The sequence below is a fragment of the Homo sapiens genome, chromosome 1, assembly GCF_000001405.40.
Source record: "Homo sapiens chromosome 1, GRCh38.p14 Primary Assembly".
Lineage (NCBI taxonomy): Eukaryota > Metazoa > Chordata > Mammalia > Primates > Hominidae > Homo > Homo sapiens.
In genome coordinates this window covers 239,834,781-239,859,785 of record NC_000001.11, presented here as the reverse complement: position 1 = coordinate 239,859,785, position 25,005 = coordinate 239,834,781, and the positions used below count along the sequence as shown (strand labels likewise).

General features: G+C 36.9%; 1 protein-coding gene and 1 long non-coding RNA gene across 35 annotated transcripts in view; one reads left to right on the top strand and one right to left on the bottom strand.

Moving 5' to 3' along the window:
• CHRM3 (cholinergic receptor muscarinic 3) overlaps window positions 1-25,005 on the bottom strand; it is a 528,883-nt gene that overhangs the window by 55,665 nt on the left and 448,213 nt on the right. The window lies entirely within an intron of this gene.
• On the top strand, window positions 17,313-19,812 carry LOC124904567 (uncharacterized). 2 transcript variants are annotated; one of them, XR_007066971.1, is made up of 3 exons: window positions 17,313-17,352; window positions 17,943-18,110; window positions 18,331-19,812. It is a non-coding gene; the product is annotated as an uncharacterized LOC124904567 (long non-coding RNA). The 2 variants fall into 2 exon arrangements; XR_007066970.1 differs by lacking the exon at window positions 17,313-17,352 and having other exon boundaries at window positions 17,695-18,110.

Here is a 25,005-nt window from a genome sequence, read left to right as displayed (position 1 = left end):
GCCTGATATACGGCATGCACTACATAAATACAACTTATTTTTCAATAAATCTTTATTTAAAAAACAGTATGGCTGGGAGTGGTGGCTCACGCCTGTAATCCTAGCAATTTGGGAGGCTGAGGCAGGCGGATCACTTGAGGTCAGGAGTTTGAAACCAGCTTGGCCATCATGGTGAAACCCCATCTCTACTAAAAATACTAAAAATTAGCTGAGCATCGTAGTGCATGCCTGTAATCCCAGCTACCTGGGAGGCTGAGGCTTGAACCCGGGAGGCGGAGTTTGCAGTGAGCAGAAATTGTGCCACTGCACTCCAGCCTGGGCAACAGAGTGAGACTCCACCTCAAAAAAAAAAACAAAAAAAAAAAACAACAACAACAACAACAAAAAAAACAGGCCAACAAATCCATAAAAAGATGCTCAACTTCATTTGTTATTAGGAAAATGGAAGTCAAAAACCACAGTGAGATACCACTTTATGGCCAACAGGTTGGCCAAAATAAAAACCAAATAGAAACAAACAAAAAAGAACATAACAAGTATTAGTGAGGATGTGAAAAAACAAACTCTCATACACCGCTGGGAGAATGTAAAATGTTACAGCCATCTTAGAAAACAGTCCATAAATTATTTTAATGGTTAAACGTAGAATTACCACATGACCCAGTAATTCCATTACTAGGTATATGCCCAGAAGAAATGAAAACATATGTCTACCTGAAACTTGTACATAAATGTTCATAGCAGCCTTATTTATAATGGCCAAAAGGTGGAAGCAACTCAAATTTCCATCAACTGATGAATGGATAAAAATGTGGTATTTGCATCCAATGGATGATTAGGCAGCCATAAAATGGAACACGTGGTACAAGGTGGATGGATCTCAAAAACGTTCTGCTAAGCAAAAGAAGCTAGACACCAATGGTCACATACTATACAATTCTATTTATATAAAATATCCACTATATGCAAATCCATAGACACAGAAAACAGACTGGTAGCTGCTGGGGGAGGGGCTCTAGGAACAAATGGGGAGTCACTGCTTAATGGATGCAGGGCTTCCTCTAGGGTGATGAGAATGCTGTGAAACTAGAAAGAGATGACAGGTACCAACACTGAATGAATTAAATGCCACTGAATTGTGTACACTTTAAAATGATTCGTGACTAATTTTACGTTATATAAATTCTACCTTAAAAAACCAAACAAACGCAAAAAACCCAAATTGTAAGAGGCAAGTACAATTATTCTCTTTTTTTTTTTTTTTCCAAATGAAAATACTATGGCACATAAAGGTTAAGACACTTGCTTCAGGTTTCACAGGTAGTTAGAGGAAAAACCAAAACAGGAATCTAGATAGTCTGATTTCAGGTAGTCAGACTCCAACTACGATACTTACATTCCTCATGTTATTCTTTTCTGCTGTTCTTTGATTTGATTCAAGTGACAATAAAAGCTAAAACCGAGCTCTAAAGGGGGAAGGGTGGAGAAGGAAAGGGATGACTCAACATATACTTAGAGTGAATGCATTCATGTGTATGATTAAAGAACAATGTCACTTGGTTCTGCAATATTGTGAAATCGCAGCAAGGATGCCAGCGTGGGAGAGCTATTGAAAACTGGTCAATGGATTTAATTGTTGAAGTGTTCTTCCTTTCTAATTAGTGCATCATTAAGTGAATTAAGTGAAGTCATCTTGCTCTTTGGTAACCAATGAGAATTATGATGAGACACAGTAGGAACCACATACACATTTATAGCCATGTTATTAAAGTATGAACTATTTTAATTAATAATATATATCAATAATATATGTCAATTAATTCCCCCTTTTTCTGAGGGATCACATAAGATAATGTTCGGGGCAACTTCAAATAATGTTATAACAGAACATAAGATGTCTAAGATTTCAGACAGGTGGCAATAGTGGCAAAACATGATTAAAGACCTATGGTAATTGCACAAACACTTTGTTGGCTAACAAATTATTTTAACCTTTGTGCATAACTAAACTAGAAAGGCTGGCTTTCATTTATTATGATTATCCACCTCCCTTCCAGGTCTCTTTCTGGACCTAGCTGAGGTGAAACAAAGACACCGAGTGATATATCAAATTACTCTAAGAGAGCCTCTGGCATCGCTAAATAATCAGAATAATTTAACAACCATTTCAACAAAAACAAATGGCACACAGTAGTTCAGTTTCCAGGGATTCGTTTGGAATTATAAGATAAACTTTAAAAAGATGTTTTATTCCTAACTTGATTTTTACTTCACACACACACAAACACAGACACACCTCACACAAAGTGATTATTTCATATTTTTTTCATCCTTCAAAGCAATAAAACTTATCTTTAGGGAACAGATTAATATTTAACTTATTCGTGGTAGTATCATAATAAACTAACTTGGGAAAGGCTCCTTAGTTTTAGATAGTAAATATGAGAGATTCTGGTTCCAAATGGAAGTGTCAAAAATATTTCTATTCTGGCTCTTTCCCTATGGGGCATGTGTTGAGACATTATCATTTCCCTTATAAATATTGAGATCGGTGGCTGAAAGTTATGTGTCTATGTTTTTTGCTTTAGCAACTTTCTGTATACCTAAAAGTTGCCACTCACTCATTTCTACCCTCCTGGTTTTTATCTCAGTTTCAAGGCCATCAAACAGCCTCCTAAGCAATCATTCAAGTTTTAAAGAGACTCTTGAATGCTGCTTGTTTTCAGGAAGCTTTCTCCAGTCAAGTTTCTGCTCAAAGAATACAAGTATTCACTGGCCATCTCTTCTTTTAATTTAGCAGGTGATTAATTACTATTAATGTGCTACAGAGAATATTGTTCATTTGAGGGCTTGCTTACAATTTTCTGTTGAGATGAGTTTTACCTACCTTCTTTGCAAAATCCCACTCAAGTAAATGTTAGCTCTTCTAAGAAGCCTTCATGCACTATCCTAGCTAGTGATGCCCCTCTCTAACTCCTTTCCATTTCCTCCCTCCTCTTCTCTCTGTTTACCTCCTTCATGCCATAAATGTTTATCAAGAATCATTTACGTGTCAGACATTGTGCTGGGCACTTTCTCAACTCACCCTCCCTTTCATGGTCTGTAATCATCCATGGCTTTTAATTGTCTTCCTGGTAGCGATCTCATACCATCTGTATTAGTCCATTCTCACATTGTAATAAAGAACTACCCAAGACTGGGTAATTTATAGAGAAAAGAGGTTTAATTGGTTCACAATTCTGCAGGCTGCACGGGAAGCATGGTTGGAAAGGCCTCAGGAAACTTAAAATCATGGAGAAAGACGAAAGGGAAGCAAACACATATTCACATGGCCAGCAGGAGAGAGAGAGAGCATGAAAAGGGAAGTGCTACCCACTTTTAAACAATCAGATTTCGTGAGAACTCACTCATGAGACAGCACTAGGGGGACGGCGCTAAACCATTAGAAACCACCCCCGTGATCCAATCACCTCCCACTAGGCCCCACCTCCAACACTCAGGATCACAATTCAACATGAGATTTGGGTGGGGACACAAAGCCAAACCTTATCACCTTCTATACTACACAGCTATGAGCGAGTTGGGTTCGAGAACTCTTACTGATTCATGGTTGTACAAATAAGTTGGTGTGGTGGAGGGAAAGGGATAGAGATGTGAACATAGAGATAGGACAGTTAGCACCAGGCTCAAGGAAGCAGTGGATGAAGCCAAAGAGGTAATGGAGAATGTTAGATTTTTGCAGGGACAAGTACAACTAGACCAGAATTTTAAATAGCTTACAAAATTTAAGATCACCTGGAACGATCCCTCCTGAGAAACTGCTAAGAAACACAAAAACATAAAAATTTGTTACATTGATATGCCTGCTAAAGTATTTAGGTGAAAGCATATAGATGTCTACAACCAAGTTTGAAATGCATCAAATAAATATGATGGATTTTTAGATGGACAGAGGGACAGATATGTGGTATTATAAGATTATCACAATGTAAATTATTGACTCTAAAAGGTGGGTTTATAGATGTTGATTGTAACATTCTTCCAACTTTTCATTATGTATGAAAATGCTTATAATCAATGTTGAGGAAAAATGCTAGTCATAATGTAAAAAGAGCAATAAAAATGTTGTTCCCTTATTTTACCCACTGATCAATCTATAAGCAGACTCTGACCTGTCAATACATTCTGGGTATGTGTGTGTGTGTTTGTGTGTATGAGTGAAAAAAAAAGTCTGTTAGTAAAATCCCCTAATGCTGACTAGGTTCAAATGACATATTTATGTATCAGATTAAAATGCATTCATCTCAGTTGTAGTTTGCCTTGTCTATACATAGCAAAGGAAATTCTTGTCTAATTGAGAGAAAGTGGATTTGGAAATTGCAATTCATCTAAAGTTTAAATGAAAATATGTGTCAACACTGAGTTAGGTAAATTCTGAATGGATTTCACAATGAAGCCATTTCTCAAAAAGAGTCAACTAGAAACCTGAAACCCTCTCTATAATTTTTTGCTCAAAAGCTAAGAAATGCTTTTGGGAATGCATGATGACTTTGTGATTATCCTGACCATTACAAAGCCATTGTTGGAAGGCCATGATTTATTACAGGGACACTCATCATTTCTGTTGAAGTCAGCATTATTAAGTAACGGCTAGCAAGGTGGAATATGGTAAAGAGTGTCGGAAACACTTAATGCATGTAGATCAATAAAACCTATTTCAATTTGCAAAGTCAAGAGTGAAGGGCATTGCCAGAAACAACTGCATAATAAGGCTGTTAAATCACTGCAAACTTTATGAATGAAGTGACATCTGATACACAGTGAAAGAAAGACATGACAAAAACTAGGAAATGGCTTTTACTCTTGAGTCTGAGCAATGCAATTTTTAAAACGAAGCAATTAACTTTAAAATGCCTTCCACTTATCTGAATTCTTTTGAATTTTTTCAGTATTAAGCTTTAAAAGAATGATGGAAACATGCTAGCTCTGAAAGTACATTTTCCATATTTTCACATAGGAAGATATTTCTGAAATTCCTAATAGCCATAGCAATTTAGAATGAACAGATTGGTAAAACTTTTGTAAGTGTATTTCTTCTCTGGAAATAATAGTGACAGACAGCCCATGTTTCATGCTGGATGTGATTTTGTAGGCATGAAAGACAAGACATTTAGAACTCTTTATCCTCTTCACAGGCTCTGTTTTCTGGGTAGCATTTATTATTTGTTTATCATACCAATGCTAGTGATTAGTATTTCTTCTTCCTTTTATATACTCTTTTCTCACTTGTAGTTTCAGGAGAAAAACACTTAGGATGCTGTGTTTTCTTGTTCCTAGTCATTTCTTTGGCAAGAAGACCATGAATAAGACTCAGAAGGATTGTTTTTTGTTGTTGTTGTTTTTGTTGTTCACTGTACATCACCAGTGGACAGAATAGTCTCTGGCACAAAGGAGCTCAATAGGTATTTTATGAATGAATGACTAAATGGATAAATGAATATTACAAGTAAATCTGGAAGCATCCATTTTCAGAGGGACTAAAGAATAAAATCATATTCCAAGCATGATCATTGTTTCTGATGTAATCCTTGATGGTCTCTTCGTTTATATTGCCTATGGCAGCCTACATTTTATTTTAAGTTTCAAAATTCTAAAGAACAATGAATTTACTGAAATAGGTATTTTTTAAGATTTTATACTGTGACTCATATCTTAAATAGAATATCACATGTATCCTCCATAAAAGCTATGATGTAGGTAAAATCTTTAAAATGAAAACACAGAGCAATTCCTAACTTCTCCACCAATGTGGGACAACATCTAAGCTTTAAGTAAATTACATAGCATCCTCTTCCTTCTTGTTTTTTCAAATCTTTCTTTTGAGATTTAGTTCTAGGATTTTATACTACGAAAAGGATAGAAACAAAGGTAAATAAGATTGGTTCAAAAATTATTTTTTATGGCTTAGAGGCAAGATGGAATTTCTTCCATTATCCCTTCTCCTTTTAACTTAATCTAATTTGAGAAATATTGATTTTGTGCTGAATTTTTGCATAGAGGAGAGGAAGAGGAACACACAGGTGAATCAGGCATGCTTCCTGAAGATACAGTTTGTCATCTATACAACAGAATACACTAACTGATTAATTTTTTTGTACAAATAAACAGAAGAGGTAAAAGAGTATTTATTTTTTTCTTCTTTTAAATTCAAAAACAGTTAAATTCTACTTAAAAAGGCAATGTCTTATAATATTGGAACTTAGAGAGTTTTATTAAATGTATAAGAAAAAATAATATTTTCATTTAGCAACAAAAAAACTGGTACTATGCTTGGCTAGAAATTGCATTTTCCAAATCACTGACAACTGTTGGCATTGAAAAAAAGAAAAGAAAAAAACAAGACTATTTCAAGATGTTGGATTTACTTTACAAAATTGGGCAGAGTTCAGATTTTAAAAAATACATTTACAACAGAATTTGACATTAAGTTTACTCTAATAAAACTCGAAATTCTAACTCTTCACATATTTAAAAACTACTTCTCCAAATATTCATTTGGTCATGGGGAGAATACTGAAATAAAATATATATTTATAAATAAAATCTCATAGGATAAGACCAACACTTTATTGAGAGGTTAATTTTTAGTGATAGTTTCCCTCTACTAAGAGAAAGAAAGAAAATAAACATCATTAAATTTAAAAAGTTGAAAAAGAACAACGATGAAAACCTTAAGGAATAGAAAGAAAAAACCCATAAGGGTAAAATAAATTCATTTGAACACAGAAAAACAAACGCCAAGTATAATAGTCCAAACTTTCATGACAGAATGTATTAACTTTTTATAAGAGAGATTTAGAGAAAACAAAGACGTAAACAAAAGTTACCATGTAACACCTGTCAATACATAAATTAGAATGTTCACAATGACAGATGAATTTCCCATAATAATACTATTAAGTGTAAACTTCTTTCATTTAAAATTAATCTCATGAAAATATTTTGTCATGACCTATGTGCCATGTGCCATGAACTACGTCAGCACTATGTGCTGAATAATTCTAGGGTGTCTGAAGACTAACGTTAAAATATGGGCAACTGGAAAGATTTAGGTTGGCTGTTCATAATCCAAGACTGTATGAGCACATTTTTCACTCACACATTATTTCCTGAAGAATTTATTAGCATTATGGGTCTGAACATTGAGTCAAGAGCCCCGAATTCTAGTCTTGGCTACTATGACTTTATAGTCTTTGTTACAAATGAAAATCCCCCTCTCTGGGAGGGCATTGTATTGCTTGTATCTGAAATTTGGTTCAAAGAATATAAATGAGGACTTGGATAAAATGCCTGATTATTACACATGCACAAGCATGTCATCGTCATCATGACCATTATATTGAAAGGAACTTTAAAGGTTTCCAGAGGGGCACACAGCTTAAAGTTACAATGACTAGACCAAGCTCACATTGTAGTTACAGGCAGTGCCTAATACACTGCTTTTTCAAATTTGTCAGACTGTTTCTTTTTCTACCTTATGAAACAAACATAGATTTTTCATTTTTCTTTTAAATCCTTTCCCAAAATATTTTCCAGGATTTCTGGAATTGACCAGGGAAACATTACCTTTACACCCCTTCAACAAATTCAGTGTAAATACAAATAGAAGAGAGTTTATTGGAGTTGAATTGGACCTGCTGTCTCATGTTTCTGCTGATAAGTTAAAGGACAGTAAGGATGATAATGAAGAAGATGATCAGCACTTCTCAAACATCACGATGCCCACAAATCACCCAGGAATTTTGTTAAAATAACAGACTGACTCAGTGGGCCAGGGTTGGGACTTGAGAGTCTTCACCTCTAATAAGCTCCTGGGCGATGATGCTGGCAGCTTTGAGAAGCCCAGTTCTACGAGATGATAGGAAAGCCTTTCATTTAGAAACTGCTTTTTTATAAAGTGTCATCTCTAAAGGTAAGAAAACTATACCTTTTTAATGCTAGCTTTATGGAAAAGAAGCAAATAGTCAAATAGGCAAGCAGATGGCTGCAACACTTTCTATAAACTAAGTTCTAGGCCACTGCTGAGAACAGCACATGCTGCTTCCATAAGTATATTACAATGATTCTGGGTCCCCAAGAAGGTGTCAGATGTTGCTATTTATTTCCCATTTGAAAAGGGCTGTGGGTGTTTAATACATTTCAGGAAGATTTTTAATCAAATGTGGTCAAATTTGGGATCCTTAAAGACCTCAATTTCATTTGTCAGACAATTGCATTATATGCAACAGCTTCTTCTCAAAGTGAGGGTGATAAACACTGGGCTGAAGTCCCTCTTTTTAGGGTTTTGCCTGCTCCTGCCAAATAATATTGGAAGATAAAATAAAATGCTTTACTTATATTTGCAATAACATAGCAAAGACACATGGTTCTCCCTGAATAAAAAGAAATTATCTTTTCTTATAACTTTTAGGATCTTTCAGAGTGATGGAAATTCTAGTTCAAATAACTAATTGTTTTTTAAAGAAGAATTTAAAAAACACCAGATTGCTTTCTTCAGATTTTCTTTAATTTCTGAGACCAATGATTAAATCTGCTACATTACCCTGACTTCAAAATGAAGCATAATTTTTCATTTTTGCAACTCATTTTCTCTGCCTCACTGGAAAGTAGTCAAAGTGAGTTTTCCTCATCAGTATTATTTTTCCTAAGCTAGGTTAGCTCTGATTTTCTCATTTTTTCTGTAGCTTCACTGTCCTTTGGGCCTGAATCTTGGGGTTCACAGCAGATATAAAAATGGTACCTGTGTCAGGGATGTCTGATATCCCATAATTGGAAACCTACTTGTATTAGTTTTCCTCATGCTGTGAATAAAGACATACCCAAGACTGGGTAACTTATAAAGGAAAGAGGTTTAATTGATTCACAGTTCTGTATGGCTGGGAAGGCCTCAGGAAACTTACAGTCATGGCGGAAGAAGAAAACACGTCCTTCTTCACATGGCAGCAGCAAGGAGAAGTGCCAAGCAAAAGGGGGATGATCCCCTTATAAAACCATCAGATCACACGAGAACTCACTCACTGTCATGAGAACAGCATGAGGGGACCCACTCCCATGATCTAACTACCTCCCAGGAGGTCCCTCCCGAAACACGTGGGGATTACGATTCAAGATGAGATTTGGGTGGGGAGACAGAGCCAGATTATATCACTACTCTTCATAGATGACTGGTGATAACAGATTTCTTAACAAATGAGATGACATTTTTGAAAAGAGCATACAGTTGACCTTTGAATGACACGGGTTTGACTGCCTGGGTCTATATGTAGATTTCTTTCAATGAAAATTACACCGAGTGTGCCTGCCTCTCCTGCCTCCACTTCCACCTCCTCCACAGACACCTCTGTTATCCCTGAGACAGCAGGATCAGCCCCACCTCTCTTCCTTCTCCTCTTCAGCCACTCAGTGTGAAAACAATGAGGATGAAGATCTTTATGATAATTCACTTCCACTTAATAAATAGTAAACATATTTTCTCTTCTTAATGGTTTTCTTAATAACATTTTATTTTTTCTAGCTTACTTTGTTGTAAGAATACAGTATATAATACATATAACAAAATATGTGTTAATATAACAAACAAAATATGTGTCAATCCATTGTTTATGTTACTGGTAGGCTTCCTGTCAACAGTAAACTACTGGCAGTTATATGCAGATTTTTGACTGTGAAGAGGATCAGTGCTCCTAATCCTTATGTTGCTCAAGGGTCAGCTGTATATTTATTTTCCCAGGAATTTAAACATATTTAAATTAAAAGGATGTTCCATGTATAACAAAGGGAGCAGATACCTTTCAATAAGACAACCTGGGTTTGCCAGGTGAGGATACCCGTTTTATCTGTTACTAATAGTAACAAGAATAGTTCACATTTACAGTTAACTAGTTAAATAGTTAACACTTATTAGGCACTTGCTAAAAGCATTCTGTCTTAATTTTTGCAAATACCTTATGAGGCAGGTACCATTATTATCTCATTTTAAAGGCCCGGAAACTGAGGGAATAAGAGGTGAAGCAATTTGCCTAACGTCACACAGCTAGCAAAGGAGCGTCTATGGTCAAATCAAGATCACCCTGCTTCAAAAACTTGTACCTTTTGCTACTAGCTTAGACTATGAGAAAAGTGTCAAAATATTTGATAGGTTCTTTTTGTCTTTTGCAGCAAAACACGTTTGTGTCTTTTGATACAAATGTTATATTTTTATTATATTTTATGTATCATCTGAATGTTATTGTCTTGTGTCTCCTGACAATGTTTCTAGTATTCAAAGAGATGAAGTCAACAACCTTTATATGCAGACAGTATTTGAAGTTTGTTTTAGGACTCAAGTCCAGGCGTGTGCTGCACCTATAATGGGAAACGTCTGTAGATGAAAGAATGTGGCTGTTGGTCTTATCTCAGTGCTACAATGATACTTGAATCATCACCAGTAATAGAGACTACTGGGACAGTGAAGTAAATATGCAAAATCAGAATGGTATTCAGTGTCTTCCTCCATTGATGTGTTGGCTTTGCTAAAAACAGCCCAGATTTTGCCTGAATTGTAAACTAAGCAAATATAACTAGAGTATACATAGGGAACAGATGTTGATTTTTAAAAGACCATTTATCCATCATCACTTTTTTATATAATCAGCTGAAACTAGCATTCAATCTCTTTTCTTAAAATTGTTGAAAGTTCCATAAATTGTTAAAAATCCATAAGGACTAACACTCAAAGATTGCAAGGTGAAATTCAGTAATATCTATTTAAACTCTATACTGTAGCTATAGTTTGCTGGAATTATTTGTAGATGATCAAATTATTTTTTAATCCTATAGGACCAAGAATGTTCAAAACTGTATTCATGTATGTGCTGTGGAAACACCATGACACGTTTATACCATAGTTAGTTTAATGAGTCAAGTTGCATTTTATCTATTCTTGATAATAAATATGACATCCTGTGTTTTGTCATACATGAACAGATAATATTGAAAGTCTCTTCCAGAAATGAGTTCAAATAGGTATAAAGACTTCTGAATAAATGAACAGTCTCTTTTCATATTAGAGAAATACACCATAGGGATGCAGAAACTAAGAAAAGCATGTACCTGCTGCTTCCTAGGTGTGAACATCAAGCAAGTTATTTAACCTGTCTGTGCCTCAATTTCCATTTGAAAAATGGGGATAAAATATGAGGATAAAGTGATATAAATGTATATATATATACAACATATATAGATCACTTCACAATACTAAGCAGTCGGTGAATTGTAACAGTTTTCTAAAAATTTTTGGGGATCATTAAAATCATATAAAATCAACTGCAGTTTTCCTAACTGGATGTTTGGAAAGTATCAATAAGTAAAGTATATTGTAATTTGTTGTGGGTTAGAACCTATCAGAACAAAAGACTGAGCCAAATAGGAGATAATTTTGAGGTCAACACATTTCCAGAATAATTTTGAATGGCATAAAAATTTTCTCACAACTCCTCCCTCTCATTTTGTAAAGCATTTGGGTAGTGATTTTCTCCTTAGCTGAGTCAGAGCTAATTTTATTATTGAATGGTATGAAAATTCTCTGAATTTGGACAATGTCTCCTTAGCCATGGATGAATGGATATATCTATTATAATTAGGCAAATGTATGCATGAAAGCCTTAAAAGGGTATTTTTAATATGGAGATGAAGACTGTGTTAAATGGTGGTTTTGTCTCACATACTTCAATGGATCAGCTTCTTGCTACCATGAATCCACACAGTTATTCTTTTCTCTCCCCTCCCCTCCCCTCCCCTCCTCTCTTCTCTTCTCTTTTCTTTTTTCTTTTTGAGACAGGTTCTTGCTCTGTTGCCGAGGCTGGAGTGCAGTGGTGAGATCACAGCTCACTGCAGCCTCAACATCCCGGGCTCAAGCAATCCTCTCACCTCAGCCTCTAGAGTAGCTGGGACTACAGGCATGCACCACCAACACCTGGCTAGTTTTTGTATGTGTTTGTGTCTGTGTGTGTGTATATGTGTGTGTGTGTATATGTATGTGTGTGTGTAGAGATGAGGTCTCACTATGTTGCCCAGGCTGGCCTGGAACTCATGGGATCAAGTGATCCTCCCACCCACTTTGGCGTCCCAAAGTGCTGGGAGTACAGGTGTGAGCCTCTGCACCTGGTGGTTATTTTTCCTTGACTTATTTTTCCCTGACTTATTTTTCCCATGTGGTTCAACCTTACATCCTATCCCTTCCGCCTTTTTTAAATTATGGCTTTAAGAAATTAATACTAGAAAAAAACAAACTAAGGCCATTGTAAATAATAATTAAATGTATCGACATCAAATATAAATGTTTATGTATTATTTTGAAGATCTATTTTAGTGATTTCTAAGATATGGCATAGATTCTTATGGCCTATAAAATATCCATTCTCCCTTTCTCTCTGAAATAAACAGATCCTCTATTTTCAGCTGTGCACGTAACCACGTAGTGGAAAGGTAGCATTTCCTATCTTTCTGGCAGTCAGGAATGAGAAATAAAAGGAAGTGTTGAATCTACTTCTGGAAAGTCTCCTTTAAAAGAAAAGTGACACAACACCCTCACTTTCGTCTTATTTTTGGAATACAGATGTGATGGGTGGAGCTCCAGCAGCCATATTAGATGATAACAATGTGGATCAAATTCTATGGTGGACAGAGTAGAACACCAGAAGGAGCTTTGGGTCCTTACATGGAGATGGCATATCAGCTTAGCCTGCTTCTAAACCTTTTTACGTGTAAGAGAGAGAAATCCCTATTACTGAAGCTTAGTATTCTGTCTCCTGCAACTGAATTTAATCCTAATCAATAAATAAGATCATTTATATAGAGTACTCATCTTACAAGATGTTCTATCAAAACTGGACTTCTTTTAAGCATTACTCTATGCCGCTTATCTTTCCTGGGAATTCACCATTTATAGTCACATAGTAACGTAATAAAAACTCACAGAAGTACTGTAGCAAAGGAAAATGTTTGGTTTCATTGAGTCACTGTTTCCCAAACTTACATGATCACAGGTTTAAAAAAATTGTGGGTATAACATTTCTTAATATCCTTGGGTATTCCTTCCTCACAATTCACTTCGGGAAACGCTGATTTATATTGGCTGTTCCTCTGAATTAGCATTTACCATGAATTCTCCATATCACTCTGCCATTTGCTCCTTTGCTGTTGGGGAAATGTCTCAGTTTTTTCTCATAACCTGGCAAAGGTGGAAGTACTACTGTATTTTTTATTGGCTTATCCATTGGTGCATTAGACCGAGAATCCTTTCTGTGATATTGAGGCAATTAGTTTGATTGAATTTCGATAAAGTCTGTTGGATTTTTTCAAACTTGTAACAACAAATTAGTAGATGCCTACTAGGAGTAATAATTTTCCCTTTATGACTAGATATATGTTCAAGTCTCAAACAGCCAGTAACTATAGTAGTCCCAAGAATGTAATTTTTGTTATAGGCCTTTCAAGAGAAAGCGTTTTCTGGAAGTTACTTTAAAAATGACATTGATGCTACCATCTATGTCGGAAAGAAAATTCACACGGAAACAAAGCACAAATTTATGGTATCCACAAAAGCCCTGGCCCAGAAAATGTCTATTAAATCATAGCTTTTTAGAAAAAAAAAAAAGTTGTAAGTTTCACTTAAAAATCACTGACCTGAGATAAGCCTATGGAGATACATTTTCTTCTTCAACAGTTGAAGCTTTGTTAGTGCGCACTTAACAAATTTTCCCACCTATCCTTCTATTGACAAATTACTCTATACCAAACTTTTATTTTATAAAATCAATACTAACTTCAGGTCTAATTCTATAAAGGCAATTCTTAAGAGTGATACTTTGGAAAAACAAAAATAATGTGTAGTTAAAAAGAGTAAGCAAGAACTCATCTGAAAGTGAATGGCTGGCCATGATACATAAACATTAATGGTGAAGCCATGAAAACAGGCCAGAGGCTGTAATTCGGTATGCAAGACCTAATCTGTTAGTTGTTTTGTTGTTCTTTAGATTTACTAAGTTGTTTCAAATGTCTCTTTAAGAAATGTTTTCAGAAATAAAATTATGACTTTTTCATTTCAGGAACTCAAGTAAGCATAAACAAATATTCTCAAAGCTGGCACAAATGGTGGGTCCAAGCTCACGGAACTACATGAGAGCTGGGCGGGTGACACGCCACAGCAATGCTGACATGTATAAGCAATATCTAAGAGAACTGGGCATGGTGGAGCCTTCTGGAGACACAAGACTTTCAACCTGTGGATTCAGGCCCAGCAGGACTAGGTTGGACTTTTCAAGAAAAACTTGTAAATATCTTCATTTAAAAATATTGACAAGTAATTATCAAAAAACCCAAACCCAAACCCAAACCAAAACAAAAATAAAAACCTAGCAGAGTAAAAATCAAATGAAAACAAAACAATGTCAGTGAGTTGAGATCCTAATTTGGCTCATGAGCTGCTGTTTTGCTACCTCTTATTTATATAAAGTCCCTGAACACCTCAGAAAGGAAGCATTTCCTCAGTTTTCTAGTTTCTCCTTGTTAACTGGCTCTTTCATATGCATTGTGTAACTTTTTTACATTGTTACTAAGTAGAGTGTAATGGAAAATTTACTGTGATTTGATTACAATCTCTTATCTGCAAATATGCCATTCAGCCCATCTGTGACCTCTGCCATCTTGAAAATAGACTAGTCCTGTCAAGGCAGATGAAATACTGCTTCCATCTGGCAGTTGGAAAAAAAATTAAGACATCTTTTTATAAGCCCTCTTTCCTTAGTTCACACTGCATTCCATGTACAAAGTTCTGGCCGTCTTCTCCTCCACCCCTCTACTTCTTCTGTCCACAGTTATCAAAATGAATATCAGTGTTTGGGTTGGGAGCCTGGGCTTTAAAGCCAGGTGCATAAGGGGTGACTAACTGCTATGCCACTTACTCACCAATAATTCAGGGTAAGATACTTAGTCTTTCTGCATCTCAGTATCCCTATCCATAAAGCTGTCTTGATAATAATAGTCTACTTATTGGAAGAAATGTTTATTAAATAGAATAACAACAAATCATAGTTTGTTCTATCATAAACCCTAGGTAAAGATTAGCAACGGCCACCCATTTTACCAGCATATAGCTCTAACGCTCGGGAAATTCTTCCTGAATTTGAGTTAAAATGTCATCTATTGGTCCCAGTGCTACTTCTTAGGGCCTAATCCACCAAATTTATTCTTAAATGTAGCCTCTGAGTGAACAGGTATAGTTTGATCCATGTGGAGATGGGGTGTGCTATCACCTCCTTTATTCTAGATACTGTATTTCTTTCCTTGTAGTTTGGAATCACATCTTCTGTAACAAATAAGCGCATTGCATTAATGACTCATATTGAGTTCACCAAAAATATCAAATCCCTAAACCTTGATTTTTTACATTCACATATAGAACCTCCCATTTATACCTCCCAAGCCTCAGTCTAAACAGACATATATGGTGGGTGGTGGGGTGAAGGTGGGGAGATGTTGATCAAAGGATACAAAATTTCTGTTAGGAGGAATACGTTCAAGAGAACTATAGGAAGCATGGTGACTATGTTGAATAACAATTTAGTGTGTGCTTGAAAATTGCTAAGAGAGAAAATTTTAAGTGTTCTTATCACAAAGAAATAATAAGTGAGGTAATGCATATGCTAATCAGCTTGATTTAGCCATTTCACAATGTATACATATTTCAAAACAAAACAAACTGTATATATAACGTGTGTGTATGCATATGTGTATGTGTGTCTATATATAGACACGTATGTATGTATCTAATTATATAGAGTATATATCTCTATGTGTATATATATATACACACACACATACACACATATACACAGTTTCAGAGAATACTTGGCAAACAATCTCCTCTAAATAGAAATTACCTGTCCAGGATCTATTGAAAGAGAAACTAAAACTAGCAATTTTAGCTCCTGCCTTTTAAAATTTTACCTGCTTCTTCCTCTTTCTGGGGGGAAGAACATGCTACTTCTATGTCAGCAATTAAAGTCTTTTTTAGCTGGTAACGTGGAAGTGTCATCTCAATCCTTCATTTTCTATTAGAGTAATGAAAATTTTAGAATAGAACACACTTTCTCTTTTGTTGTTAACTAAATATTTTGCTAGATTTCTTCCTCTGCCTACATGAGACCATTTGCTGAACCATGCCTCCAGCTAATCTGCTATATTAAAGCAAATGATAAGTCCTAAGAGGAATGCCAAAAAAAAAAAAAAAAAAAAAAAGGAAAGCGAGTGAGATAAAAAGAGAGAGAGAATGCAACTGAGTTTATAATCTAAGAGATTAGGTTAAAAATCCAGAAATAATTATATAAATAATCATAACATAGGCCAGCATGGGTCCCTGGGAGCTACAAAAGCACTGTTAAAAATGATTAGAGGAGGTGAATACCACATTCTACACTTGTGCTAGGATTTGAAGAATGGGCAGATGTTTGGTAAATGAAGGTGAGGAGTGTGATAATGAGTATATAGGCAGGAGGATTAATACAAGCAAAGCCACTAAGTCACCAAAGGATGGCCCTTGTTTGAGCGAAGTAAATTTATATTACCTGGATAGTAAAGAGTAAAAAGCCCTAAAAGGCAATAAAGGCAAGTTGGGACAAGAAAGCCACATAAGGGGCTTTGTCCTTATTAAGTGTGTGGTGGGATCTGATCCACTGAAGTTTATAGGAGAGAAGAGCAAGATGATCACAGCAAAGCTCTAGGCTATGATGTGAAGAATGGTCAAGACAATGGGGCAGGGTCCTGGAAGCAGAAATACCATGTAGGACCCTGGTGATCTAGGCACAGGAATGCTGAAGATCTGAATCCCGGATGGTGACCATGGGAATGGAAGCCTAGGTTCTTGAGATACAGTCACATCATTTTAACATTTTTTCAAATCTGCTTTTATCCTTTGTGTTTAAAATGTGTGTACCTGTGTGTGCGTGCATGCATGTGTGTGTATGTTGGGGTGACCTAGATGATCCTTCTAACTTGGAGATTTTATGATGACACTTGAATACCTGATATATCAAGTGATCAGAATTTGGGGCAAAATAGATGCGTATATGGTTCTCTTCTAATGTGTTTATCAGTCCTTCCTTTTCTTTTCCACTTTAGGTCTCCCCATCCATCATCATTAAGAAAGAAGGGCTGCTGGGCACGGTGGCTCACTCCTGTAATCCCAACACTTTGGGAGGCCAAGGCAGGCGGATCACCTGATGTCAGGAGTTCGAGACTAACCTGGCCATCATGGTGAAACCCCGTCTCTACTAAAAATACAAAAATTAGCCAGGCATGATGGCGGGCACCTATAATCCTAGCTACTCAGGAGGCTGAGGCAGGAGAATCACTTGAACCGGGAGGCGGAGTCCGAGAGGTGGAGTTAGCAGTGAGCTGAGATCTCATCACTGCACTCCAGGCTGGGTGACACAGCGGGACTCTGTCCCCCCAACCCCCTCAAAAAAAAAAAAAAAAAGAAGTACATGTGGACATGGAATTTAAAAGTGAAATTTTATAATTCCATGATATGAAATTACCATAGGACTTGATAGATGACATGCATTCAATTTCTAGTTTTGTTATAAGTTGTATGATGAGAAATATATCTTTCAATACCTCTGAACCTCATTCATGAAACAAGGAGCAGCCCATTTCAGTATCATGCGGAGCAGATTTTCAAATTATTCAGGCCTGAGATTTTGATATAGGCGTCCCCCCTACACCAGCCTAGAACCTCTTGGAATGAATGAATTCTAAGTTTCTTTCCAGATGTAAAGTTGTATTATATAATTTAATTTTGCACAACTTCTCTCCAAGTCACTTCCTCATTCTACCCTGTTTAGTTCCAGTTTTCAGCCACTAGAGATAGAGGCAACTTCCTGGGACTTTTGAAACTATCATTTGGAGCCATCTTCCCATTGGAAAGTAAAAGAAGAAACAAGTTATGCTAATGCCTTGAAAGCTGCTCTTCAAGAGTCACATATTACTCCTGACCCCAGGTGGGAAATGAGGTAAGTCTAGTCAGCTCCTGAGGCCTTGGCCAGCTAAATCTTGGAACCCAATTTCTACCTTAACTGTCAATGGATTTAGGATTCCAGTCCATTGCCCTTCAGTTTTGCAACCATATGGGACTTCTTTTCATGGCAGAAAAACAATTTGGGGTCTGTGGGCTTAATGAAAAATAGCAAGTCAACAGGTAATAGAGTTTTACTCTCTATTTTTCCTCCTTAGAGACAGCTGAAAGTTGCGAATCTGCACACAATGAAACTCTACAGTCAATCCCACTGGATCATTGGTAACGAACGTAATTCTGCTTTACCAAAATTCAACATGCCCCACCAAATCCCACATCCCTTTTAAATTCATCTCCAGAGCATACTAGCTCACAGTGCCTTCTGAAACTTCTAACAAATTGTCACCTCCTCTAACACATACCATATTGCTATTATTCAAGGAAAGACTGATATCAAGAGAAAAATCCAAGTTAAATGTGCAAAGCCTCCATCAAATTTGAAGTCATTCTCAACTTTTATGGACCAGTGAAAAGCAACAAAACATGTTCTCCCTTAATCTTTGCTCATTACTAAACAAGACACCTCAGGTCAATTTTACAGCAGAGAGTCAGGGTGCCATGGAACACAGTGTGGGTGGATGGCCTCTGAGCAATCTGCTTTGGTAGCTGGGTCTTTGTAAATGGCCTAAAATTATGACACTTCCTCAGTGTTTGTTGCTGCCCACACGTGCACCATGAATCAAGGAACAATCACTTCACATGCCAGAGTGCTGGCAATGAATATTAATCACAAAGAAATGGAACAAACAGTGACGGTACTCAATTTTCCGAATACCATTCTACAAACTGAAGCCATCCTAGAAATTCTGGAGAGAAAACACCATGGTAACCCTTTTTCTTATGTTAACTGACAATATTCAAGTTATTGAAAGAATATATAAATGCAAAAAATGAGATATCTATTGCCCTAAAGATTTCATTTGATTTGGCTTTTAAAATGAGATCTTTAAAGCATTTTCTCTTTATCTCAGAATAAAGGCCAGTTTTGTTCAGTAACAGTTCTAAATTGAACATCCTGCCATCCATCAATGGTGTGTACTACAGCTGCCTATGCTTTTTCCTCCAGGGCAGTAGACAGCATTTTGACACTAATGGTCATTTTCTTGCTCACAGAATTGAATTTTTTTGTGTATTATCTGTCACTTCCTTCCAAATATCAGTTTATTAGGAGTTAAACTGGAATTGCAGAACAAGATTGCTTCTTTGGGCATTATTAAGAATACAAAATCAATGCCGTGTGAAGTATTTGAGTGCTGCAGGCCACTGATGAGCTTTTAAATGAGTTATGGGGCATAGAAATCAGGTTAATGGGGTTAACGCTCTAATTTACACAGTGTCCCAAGGTAACTGACTTCTTAATATATTTAATGAGATGTAAAAAAAAGTCCACCACCAAAGCAAACTTATATGTTTCTAAATGCACACATAATGTACAGGTAAATTTACAGACAACTTTCTGGATGGATAGATCCAAAATTGATAAATGCAGTTAGCTCTGGGGAAGAGTGAGATTGAGTGCTGGTCAACAGAGATGTCAGTTCCATGTTTGTTATTTACAGTTTCTAGAGTAAAAGTGTATGCGTGCATTATCATTTAAATGAAAAATAATTAATTAATAAAAAATTGTATTAACAACTCAACAACTGAGGCCTGGGCTGGATGCAGCCTGCACCAGGCAATGGTGTTCTTTCTTGCCTGCTGGGAGAAGAGCCTAGCCTATGTCTACCTTCCTTTCTTCCTTTCTTTCCTTCACTTCTACTCCAGCTCTCAGTGCTTTATGCAAAAGTACTTCTCCCTTCCCCGCTCCCCCCCCGCCCCGCCACTGAATGTAATAGTAAATGTCCCAGACATTCATGGTACTGGTTGGTCTCTTTGTATGTCACTCTCCCCTTTCTTCTTTCTGTATAAAGGGGGAATATGAATAAGTGGACTCTTGACCTTGAATATTTTAAAACATTTAAACCACGAGGAAGATAAATGGTACTGTTGCTCCTAAGCATCATATTCTGACATGGAATCTTTAACCACAAACATTTGTCTCTGACCCAATCACTCTTTTCTGCCAAAACATGTTCCATGGATTCCCATAATCTAGAATTAAGTTGAAGCTCTCTTGCCTGGTACTGTATGACTCGAAGTTACTATTCCTACCTATATCCCATACTTTCATTTACAGACCCCATAGTGCATTCCAAAAGCCCAACAGAGATCTGTCCCAGTAAAACTTAAAAGACGTGGTTGATCAGTATGCAGAACCACTGGAGTGAATTCTATGTCCTAACTGCATGCACTCCGTAACAACACACTATTGAATCATCTCAATTATCTTCAATGATGATATAGATCGAGAGGCAGTGAAAGTAGCTTTGAATTACAAGCTACAAGACCTATCCAAGTTTCAGTCCTAGCATGATTTGGGGCAAATTCATTAGCCCTGATATTCTTATTTGCCACAGGGAAAATAATATCTACCTTGTCTATCTTATGGAGTCATTTGGAGGAAAAAGTATTTTGAAAGGGCCCTGAAGGGCCAATCGAATGGAAGAAGATATGTATTTTGGATTTTGTGTATTTGAGGATGAGTATGATGCTCTCTTCTTTTTACCTGTCTTCATAGAAAACCTATCCCCATCCATGCTTTAATTTTCTAGATGATATGATGCTTTGTTTAACATCATCCTTAATCCATTTTAAATTTTCTTGATTCTTCCCTGAGTATATAAAAGCATATTTATCTGTATTTTTCAGAAGTATCAATTTCCCAGAGAAACACTTTAAATTTCTGCAGTAAGAGCTTTCTCTTCCTTACCTATTCTAATGTTCTACACATCAAAGGGTCCATAACATTTTACAGGACTTGTTGGTAGTACAATGAGAACTATGTGCGGAGGACCCTGCCATATCATGGGAAATTCCCCAGGTCTGAAGGGAGAAGATGCCAAGTCTACTTTATCACTAACCAGCTTTGTGACCAGATCACAAATCACCTAACCTTCTTGAGCATGGGTCTCATTGCCTATACAATAAGATAAACTTTGTAGGCTTGTGGTAAGGAACATGAGATCATTTGCACACAAAATATGGCATGGCAATTTTAATGCATTTTACAAATGCTAAGAGGAGGAATGAGAGAAGGAATGTGTTTGCCATGTGTTGTTTGACAATTACAGCCACCAAGACACCTATATATTGTAGAGTTGTCCAAAACTGCATGAAAACAGATGGTGTTTGTGGTGTAGGATGGCATCTTTAACCACAAACATTTGTCTCTGATCAAATCACTCCTTTCTGCCCAAACACCTTCCATAGAGTCCCATAATCTACAATTAAGTTGGAGCTCTGTTGCCTGGTATTGGGTGACTCAAAGTTACTATTCCAACTTACATCCCATATTTTCACTGATAGACCCCTTTCTTCAGTCCAAATAAACTGCTTCCCATTAATCATATAGTCCCTGGAATTTCTTCTGGCACTATTTATCCACCACTTAGAATGTTATCTCCCATTTTTACATGTCCTGGCCTTTAAGATTCAATTCATATATAATTTCCCTCACGATCTTTCTCTGAGCCTTATATTTTGAAGTACTCTCTCTCTTCGTTAAAATTCCATAAAGTGTTTTTATTTTACTATTTTTGCCTTTTAGTATTGTTATCTATGCACATGATTTATCTTCCTAACTACAATGTAAACTTTTGAGGGTAGAACTCTAGCTGTTTCAGCTTCATAGCAGGTACAGCTTGGCCTACTATGCTGCACCGAATAAAAACTCAATGAATGGGTAAAGAATGAATGGATGAGAGAAACTATACTCAGTGGTTAAGATAGGAGAATATCAAACTCTAACTCTCTTCAGGAGATTGGTGATTGGAGATAAACAGGTAAAGTCAGCCATATATAAAATTCTGAAGGAGAAATGTCTCATAATGATTTATAATTATGTAGTTAAGTACTTAAGCACAAAGATATTTTGCTGGAATTCAAGTTCACTACTATTAGGCTGTGCTTACTGCTGTGCTTCACCTTAAGTTCTGTAGAGTCTAACTTAAAACATATATAACATATTGTAATGATTAAGTTTCTGGAATTGATGGGTTGCAAAATGTCTGTCAGGGTTTGCAGCTTACAAAGGACAGCAGAGTTGAGAGAGGGAAGAGGTGAGGACTTGTACCTGATCCCTGCTTCAGAGTCCTTCCTAGCTGAAAGGTAATCGGTAATGTCAGGAACAAAAAGATCTGGAGACAAGAAGTTGGATTCGATGATTTCTACAGCTTCATTCTCATTTTGCGATTCTAGGTGCTTGGATATTTCTCTGGCACTCTTGATCTATCATTAAGGATGTGTCAGATGTATCACTTTATTGGCTCTAAACAGACTCTTCAAAGGGCAAGCATGGAAATGAAAGAAAAGTAAGACGTGGTCTCCCTGCCTCACACATCGTGAGAAACAACAGATTTCTGTCATGGTTTAGCTAGCCTGTGACTGATCCATGGAGCACACAACCAAAATGTTGCATTTTTTTCTGCTTACAACCCTGTTTATCATGCATTACTGATCATAGGAAAGGATGCTGACACTGTATGGTCCAAAGAGTCCTCATACTTGCCTCTCCCCTTCACCCATCTTTTTTTTTTTTTTTTAAGACAGAGTCTTGCTCTGTTGCCAGGCTGGAGTGCAGTGGTGCTATCTCGGCTCGCTGCAACTTCCACCTCCTGGGTTCAAGTGATTCTCCTGCCTCAGCCTCCCAAGTAGCTGGGATTACAGGCATGTGCCATCAAGCCCAGTTAATTTTTGTATTTTTAGTGGAGACAAGGTTTCACCATGTTGTCCAGATGGTCTCGATCTCTTGATCTTGTGATCCATCAGCCTCGGCCTCCCAAAGTGCCGAGATTACAGACGTGAGCCACCACGCCAGGCCCCCTCCACCTATCTTATATGTGACAAAACTTTCCTTTTGTTACTGATTACTGCACACATTGATAGTGGTCTAGGAGTCCTAAGAGGGTCTGCTCTCAGGTGAAAAGGAGGTTCAAGGTTTTTGTACGGGGATGGTAGAATGAACTTGGCTTCCGCATTTCTAGCAGAGCATAGTGTTATTAAAGGACAGGAGGGCTCCTGCTGCAGCTCCACAACCAAGAAAAATACTGGAATTGAAATAACATAATCACAGAGTTTCTTATATTTTTATCAATTGAAATACATTTATATTCTGCCTGTTAAAAAAAAACAAAAACAGAAAATGATTTGATATGGCTCCATTCAGCAAACATGGTGACAGGCTCGGATGCTTGATTATGTAACAGAATGGAGAAAAACACACCTCCTCTCAAGCTACACCCTTTCTCGATCTGAGGATAAGACTTTGTTTTTGAAGTAGCTGTGGGAGACAGGACTAAAACAACTAGCATTTCCTGCTGTTCTCTGAAATGTTCCTGTTTTTCACTGGTGGACTGCTGGCTGGGGAACTGGTCACTAATCTTTGTCAGTATGAAGGCAGTATGCCCCTCAGTTGAAACAAGAGGTCACACCAGGTGATTGGCTGGAATCTGCAGCCAGCTGCATCCCCACAGAACGCCATCCGTGCTGCACACACATAGCATGGATCTTTTTCCTCTCTACGAATGTATCTCCATCGTCTCAAAAGAAGCGGCAAGGACATGATGCAAAGTTGGCAATTTGGATCCTTGACACTTATTAGCTTGACATTGAGTCTCCCATGCCTACTTCCATTCAATTTGTTAAAACCTGAAATGCAGTAATTTAGGTCCATGTTCGTTCATCCTTCTGAATCAGCAGGCTTCTAAATTTTTAACTGTGTCCTATGGAAATAAATACATTTTTCTTTGCGACCCAGTGCACACACATACACGGAGAAATAATTTTCATGTGATACTACCTCACTCCATGGGAGGTACTCGGATGTCTTCTATTCTAAACTATTCGAAATAAATACAAATGTTCTTCCTAACGCACTAAGTTGATTTCATGACTTGAAATTTGAAAACCATTGTTTAAAACTCTAAAGGCTTTGACGGTCGAAAACCAAGCCTTATCAGTCTCTATCTCTTAGCGTGTCTTTGCACATAGAAGAAAGTCAAGAAATGTTGTTAAATAAATAATTATTTTCTAAGTGAAAAAAAAAACCTCTTTGACAGCATTGCCCAAACAATCTTTTTCCTCCCCAATTTGCGTTGCACTTGTGCAGAGAACGTAGTGGGCACTCATCAGTTGCTTGTGGAAGGACTACAAAAATCTATAAAAGATTCATGCTTAATGTCCTCATTGAAGGAAGGAATAAGAAAAGGGGAAAGAAAGGAAGAAAGGCAGAGCCAGCTCTGTTCATCTTCAAACAAAAGGTATAAAATCATGCTGGCACGGAGGATCCGGAAAGACTGAAGATCTGCCCAGTTTCCTGTTGGCCAGCGAGACCTCCATGTGATTTATTATTTAATTGTTGCTAGACAAAACACTGCTAAAGGGGGAAACATGTTTAAATCACAATGGCAATTTAAGGTAGAACATGACTTGTCCCTTGACTTACAGCCCCATTACCTGAATCTTCAGTAAACTGATCCTCTAAAATCTCCAAGTAATGAAAATGAACTAATTCGCCTATAACCAAAGCTCACCCATATTTCCATTTGCTTTTCCTGTACCGCTGACTTTAGACATATGACTGAGCATATGTGTTAAACTTCAGCCTCAATATATTTATGTAAAAAACATTTTCCTAAGAAAATATATTCAAGGTGTACCCAGTGAATATCATTGAGAACTTTGTTACATTGAGTGTGGTACTAGATCGTGGGGTAGAAAAAAGTGAAATCTGAACA